Here is a 7,290-nt window from a genome sequence, read left to right on the forward strand (position 1 = left end):
GGTGAAGAAACTGAGGCTCAAAGAGGTTCATGGAATTGTTCCCTCATGGTACTAAGACTTCAGGACTGGAAACTCTCTCTCCATGCTTCACCCACCACCTCTTCTTTTTCCCTTTGCTTGCTGGGAGTCACCTTTCCACCCAAGTTCCTGAGCTCACATACTGTCTACTTCCTACCCGAGAAATCCAGATTTGACAAGTCCCTAACACCCAGCACTGAAGAAAATATTAGATTAATATATCCCCCAGCCAGCCATTTCCTCTTCCTCTCTGACAAACCCATGAGGCACCACTCTTTAGCAAAAAGGCTCATCATTTTTTAGATCCAAAGACTGAAGCTCAGCAAGATTAAGCAGCTTGCCTGAATTCACCCAGCTGATGGTTTTGCTGAGACTCAAATGCAGATCAAGCTGGATCTGCTTTCCATTGTGTCCTTTAGACTACAATATGCTTTCTTTGACCAGCTAGAGGGCTGCATTCCCTAAGACAATCTTGACATGTAATTCCTGAGGAATTGAGCATATGGTATTTTGTTGGGGAGTTCATTGCTGGGCTCCTTCACCACAGACCTCCCTCTCTTCCCCTATGGAGGGGAGCCAGCCTGAGTCAAAATGTCTCTTTCAGAAGACACAAGGAGGCTTTGTGATGGAGGCTGTTAAAAGGGCACAGGCAGAATCTCCCTGGGGCAAAGTTGGGAAATGAGGCAAGTCTCCTAAGTGTCAGGCTCACCCCGTTGTGTGGGGTAGTGCTGAGATCACTCCTCTCTGACATCCCACTATCTGATATGCTTATCCCTTGGGCCTCCCTCCCACCCTTCCTGAGAAACATATCGCCCATCTCTGCCTATTGAGAGCTTTTCCTCATCCTTTGATGCCCGACTCCAGTATTTCTTCCTCCATGAAGCCTAAATGATCCCCCCATGCTGAATTACTTGGCCCCTTCTCAGGGGTCTCAGAGCCCCTGGATCACATAAGTACTTCACAGTAGGCACAGAACCTGCTTCAAATCCACCTGCCAATGATTAGCTTTGTGAGCTTGGTCAAGATTTAACCTCTAAACATCTGTTTCTCCAACTAAAATGGAAACAATAGTGCCTCCCTTCACAGGGCTGTGAAGAAGTTTAAATTGGATTAGGTATGAGTAAAGAAAAAATGTTATCTATATATATTCATGGCCTTAATTTCTCCTCTGGGGGAGCTTGGAAGGGAAGAAAGGGATGTGATGAGGGGCTGCTTTGTGTATACAATAGAGACAGATGGAAAAGTGTTTTTTGTTTTGTTTTTGTTTTGTTTTGTTGTTGTTGTTGTTGTTGTTTTTGAGACAGTCTTGCTCTGTCGCCCAGGCTGAGATACAGTTGCCCCATCATGGCTCACTGAAGCCTCAAACTCTTGAGCTCAGGCTGTCCTCCCACCTAGCCTCCTAAGTAGCTAGGACTACTACCACCATTCCTGGCTAGTTCTTTGTTTTTGGTTTTTTTTTTTTTTTTTTTTTTTTTTTTGAGATGGAGTCTCACTCTGTTGCCCAGGCTGGAGTGCAGTGGTGCATCTCAGCTCACTGCAACCTCCACCTCCCGGGTTCAAGCGATTCTCCTGCCTCAGCCTCTTGAGTAGCTGGGACTACAGGTGTGCACCACCACGCCTGGCTAATTTTTGTATTTTTAAGTAGAGATGGGGTTTCACCATATTGGCCAGGCTAGTCTCGAACTCCTGACCTCATGATCCACCTACCTTGGCCTCCAAAGTGCTGGGATTATAGGCGTGAGCCACCACATTCAGCCTCCTGGCTAATTTTTAAATTTTTTTGTAGAGACAGGGTCTCAATATGTTGCCTGGGCTGGTGTCAAACTCCCAGCCTCATGCAATCCTCCGGCCTCAGGAAAAGAGGATTTTAAGTTTTGCTGTGTATATTTTTCAAAAGAATGTGCAACCATTATTCAAATATTTTTTTCAAATATTATGGATGCCAGATTGATACCATGTGGAGACAAGACCGTGAAGAGGCTCAGCTTTTAATTTTTTGAGATGGCATCTCACTCTGTCACCCTGGCTAGAGTCCAGTGGCATAATCAGGGCTCACTGCAGCCTCTACCTCCCTGACTCAAGCAATCCTCCCATCTCAAACTCTCAAGTAGCTGGGTGGCTGGGACCACAGGCACAGGCCACCACGTCTGGCTAATTTTTGTATTTTTTGCAGGGACAAGGTCTCACTATGTTGCCCAGGCTGGAAGGCTCATCTTTTGAAAGGATACACGTGTAAAGCTCTTAGCACAGTATTTTATAGCTACCAAGTACTCAAATAATGATGTCTCTCACTATTATTTGTTTATCCATCTCTACGACAAAACTTGTCTTCATCTCTGTGCCAACCTGTCTTCTGCCCTACTCAGCCAACAGTAGGTGCTCAGCAGGAAGAAACCAAAAGCCAACCAAAGTCTGGGAAGACCAGAAACAAATGCCCTAACACTTCAGCTGACCACAGCAACTGGGAGCAGGGTCAGCACTAGGGAGGGGCTATTTGCAGGCATTCTTCTGTGGGGGATGGGCTCTCACATCCTGCTTGTCACTGTTCCCAGCCCAGACACAGGCTCACTTCATCCTCTCACCCACACAGACTGACCTCTGCCCTGGGATGTCACTAAGGGGTGAAGGGGCCACGGATGGCCAGGGACATCAAGCATGCCAAGCCAGAATTCTGCACACCAGCTCCCTGGGACTTCTGCCTGTTCCACAGGGCCTGGCTTGCACACCAGCAGCCCTGTAGTTGGGTGTGTACTCAAAGGTTAACTCTCCCCCAGGACAGCAGGGTGGGAAGATGAATGACAAGAAGACCTGGGAGTACCTCCGCTCACAGAACTCCAGTTACAGCTGGCTGGGTACAGTGGCTCACGCCTGTAATCTCAACACTTTGGGAGGCCAAGCTGGTTGGATCACTTGAGGTCAGGAGTTCGAGACCAGCTTGGCCAACATGGTGAAACCCCATCTCTAATAAAAATTCAAAAATTGGCCAGCGTCATGGCAAACGCCTGTAGTCCCAGCTACTTCAGAGGTTGAGGCAGGAGAATCACTTGAACCCAGGAGGCAGAGATTGCAGTGAGCTGAGATCATGCCATTGCACTCCAACCTGGGTGACAGAGCGAGACTCTATGTCAAAAAAAAAAAAAAAAGAGAGAGAACTTCAGTCACAGCCGACTACTTGTTCTCCCTGCAACACTGCCCTTTCCAGTCCCTGTGTTTGCTCACTCTGATCTCTGAGGTGCCCTCCCCCAATTTCTGCCTAATAAACTCTACTCATTCTTCAAGGCCTAATCCAAATAACTTCTCTTCCAGGAAACCATCCCTGCAGTCTGAAAGAGCTCCCTCTGACCCCACAGCCCTTATCCTGGCTTCTGTTGTTATTTAGGATATGGGGTCTCACCTAACATTGGACAAATGCAACGTGGATCAGAGATTGTGCTCAGGAGTCAGGGAAATTGAAGTTTCATTCCTGGATCAGCTGCTTGTTAGCCCTATCACCTTGCTTGGCCTCACTAAGCCTCACTGTAAAACCGGGAAAATAAAATAGGATAGTTATGAAAATTAAATGAGATAACGCTCATTAAGCCATTAGCATGGTGCCTTGTACACATTAAGCTCTCATGTTAGCTATTATTATTATTGTCTCTGTCTCTCTTCCACCTCCACACCCACCCACAGTATCTCAGATAAGGCCTTAACTAGCTCAATATCTGAAGGTGTAATTTTATTGAATCAGGTCTCTCAGGTTCTAGATATGAGAGGGCTTTCTCCAGAAAGAAGTGGAGATGCTAAAAAGAGGCTGAAGTTTCTAAGAACAAGAGATCCCAGCTGGGCGTGGTGGCTCACGCCTATAATCCCAGCACTTCAGGAGGCTGAGGCAGGTGAATTTGCCTAAGCCCAGAAGTTCGAGACCAGCCTGGGCAACATGGCGAAACCTCGTCTCTACTAAAAATACAACAATTAGCCAGGTGTGGTGGCCCAGGGTTCGAGTCCAGCCTGGGCAATCCCATCTGGCTTTAGACAGTGAGACCCTGTCTCTATTAAAAAAAAAAAAAAAAAGGCCAGGTACGGTGGCTTACACCTGTAATCCCAGCACTTTGGGAGGCCAAGGCGGGTGGGTCATGAGGTCAGGAGATCAAGACCATCCTGGTTAACACGGTGAAACCCCATCTCTACTAAAAATACAAAAAATTAGCCGGGCATGGTGGCGGGTGCCTGTAGTCCCAGCTATTAGGGAGGCTGAGGCAGGAGAATGGCGTGAACCTGGGAGGTGGAGGTTGCAGTGAGCCGAGATCGCACCACTGCACTCCAGCCTGGGTGACAGAGTGAGACTCCATCTCAAAAAAAAAAAAAAAAAAAAAAAAGACTCAGTCTGCCTTCACGACTTGTACAAAGTCCCTCAGGGCCTATACAATAGACCCAGAGCTGCAGCTTCTAGCCTGGAGTTCAGACCTTGAATAGAAAGTCTCCCAGGGGCAGCGTCACCAAGAATTGAGCCCACAATTGGAGAGGGAATCAGCCCTATCATCTCACCACTGTTTCAGGGCAGAGAACAGAATACATGGTACCTACAGGTCCCCTCTCAGATGTATATAATAATGATAGCTGCTATTTACTGAGTATCCATCCTGTATCAGGCACCACACTGAGTGTCATGATAATTTCCAGTCTTCAAAACAACCTGGCTGGGTAAGATGGCTCATGCCTGTAATCTCAGCACTTTGGGAGGCCAAGGCCATCCTGTATCAGGCACCACGCTGAGTGTCATGATAATTTCCAGTCTTCAAAACAACCTGGCTGGGTAAGATGGCTCATGCCTGTAATCTCAGCACTTTGGGAGGCCAAGGTGGGCAGATCACCTGAGGTCAGGAGTTTGAGACCAGCGTGGCCAACGTGGTGAAACCCCGTCTCTACTAAAAATACAAAAAAATCAGCCAGGTGTTGTGGCCTGTGCCTGTAATCCCAGCTACTTGGGAGGCTGAGGCAGGAGAATAATTTGAACCTGTGAGGCAGAGGTTGCAGTGAGCCAAGATCATACCACTGCACTCTAACCTGGGCAACACAGTAAGACTGTCAAAAAAGAAAAAAAAAAGTCGGGCGCAGTGGGCTTACGCCCGTAATCCCAGCACTTTGGGAGGCTGAAGTGGGTGGATCATAAGGTCACGAGTTTGAGACCAGCCTGGCCAATATGGTGAAACCTCATCTCTACTAAGAATACAAAAATTAGCTGGGCATGGTGGCGCATGCCTGTAGTCCCAGCTGCTTGGGAGGCTGAAGCAGGAGAATTGCTTGAACCCGGGAGGGAGAGGTTGCAGTGAGCCGAGATCATGCCATTGCACTCCAGCCTGGGCAACAAGAGTGAAACTCTGTCTCAAAAAGAAAAACCAACAAACAACAAAAAAAACCTGAGTTAGTATTTTTACTAATATCTAAATTAAATATAAATGGAGATCAAAATAAGCACAAATGACTCATGCTTATAAGCTTTTAGAGAAATAGGAAGCCAAAAAATTGCCAACCCAAACTATTACAACTGATATCAGCATTATTTCATACTGCCAATTAGTCTTTTGGCTGAAATTAATTGGCTTTACTAAAAACAAAGCAAAACAAAGACTGCAACTTGTTAAGTTATGTGTTCTATTGGCATCCCCACTTTAGATGAGGAAATAGTGGCTCAGAAATGTGAACGTTTCCTGAGGTTAAATAGCTGAGTGTGATAATCAGCCAGGCTAACTGAAGAATCCCAACAGCCCAAACTTAGGGTCCAGTTGCCAGACCCGGGCTGCTTCTTCATTAAAACGATGGCTCATGACTTGACAGGGACAGATCTTTTTTTTTTTTTTTTTTGAGACGGAGTCTCGCTCTGTCGCCCAGGCTGGAATGCAACGGAGCAATCTTGGCTCACTGTAAACTCCGCCTCCCGGGTTCAAGCGATTCCCCTGCCTCAGCCTCCTGAGTAGCTGGGATTACAGGTGTCCGCCACCACACCCACCTAATATTTCTATTTTTAATAGAGACGGGGTTTCACCTTGTTGACCAGGCTGGTCTCAAACTCCTGACTTTAAGTGTTCCACCTGCCTTGGCCTCCCAAAGTGTTGGGATTACAGGCATGAGCCACCATGCCTGGCCCAGATCTTATCTCCTGTAAAAATACTTAAGACCTGGGACAAGACAAGTGCTTGTTAAAGGTTTGTTGGGTGAATGAATGATTGGGTGAATTTGGAGATAGTTGTTTAGGAGATAGTCTGCTCCACCCCAACCATGGAGAGACCCGTAATTTAGCACTCTCCATTTACCACTGCTGCCGAAAGTCCTTCCCACATTGTTGCCCAGAAGCTAGTTTAATGGCATTAACCATCCCAGACAGCCATAACACCATTAAAAGCTTCAGTTCAGCCACTGCACCCCGACCCAGGGTCTTGGCTCTGGGCCCTGGGCTGGAAGAGTGGTGTGGTTGTTTACCAGAAATTTGGACCTTCTTCAGAGAAAAGCAAACATGACCTATTAGTCTAATTCAAGTACTTAGCAAGAAATGACTGGGCCGGGCGCAGTGGCTCACGCCTGTAATCCCAGCACTTTGGGAGGCCGAGACGGGCGGATCACGAGGTCAGGAGATCGAGACCATCCTGGCTAACACGGTGAAACCCCGTCTCTACTAAAAATACAAAAATTAGCCGGGCATGGTGGCGCGTGCCTGTAGTCCCAGCTACACAGGAGGCTGAGGCAGGAGAATGGCGTGAACCCGGGAGGCGGAGCTTGCAGTGAGTCGAGATCGCGCCACTGCACTCCAGCCTGGGCGACAGAGCGAAACTCCGTCTCAAAAAAAAAAAAAAAAAAAAAAAAAAAAAAAAAAAAAAAGAAATGACTGTACCATTCACACCCCCAGCCCTAGGTTAACGGAGCCAGGGCAAATGGAGAGGCCTTGACTGCTCAGAGATCTTCCTGGGAGGGGAAGAAGGAAGGAGGAAGGTCAACTCAGTGTCCCACTGGAGTTTTCAGGGAGGCAGCTTGGCTGAGCGTTTCCTGGGGCTGTGCAGGCTACGGGGATACAAGAATGTATATAGAGAGACTTACGGATTCCACCCACCACTCTGGCAGCTTTGTGTACATCCTACCCACAGTCACCTCCCTCACTGTCTTAAACTTGGCTCAGAGAAGAATGGGAAGACAACAAAATATCCATCAACACAGATGGTTAAATAAACTATGCATGTATGAATATGCATTCATATAAGTTCATGTCATGCAGCTGACAAATAGAATGATATAGCTCAA

General features: G+C 47.3%; 1 annotated feature.

The window, feature by feature from the left end:
* Nucleotides 2,167–2,759: an enhancer, noted in NCBI's record as "H3K27ac-H3K4me1 hESC enhancer chr5:137581186-137581778 (GRCh37/hg19 assembly coordinates)". NCBI's record gives its function as "activates a minimal SCP1, AML or CMV promoter by ChIP-STARR-seq in primed H9 embryonic stem cells {active_cell/tissue: H9 hESC(primed)}" and the evidence as "EXISTENCE:reporter gene assay evidence [ECO:0000049][PMID:30033119]".

Source organism: Homo sapiens, chromosome 5, assembly GCF_000001405.40.
Source record: "Homo sapiens chromosome 5, GRCh38.p14 Primary Assembly".
Classification (NCBI taxonomy): Eukaryota; Metazoa; Chordata; class Mammalia; order Primates; family Hominidae; genus Homo; species Homo sapiens.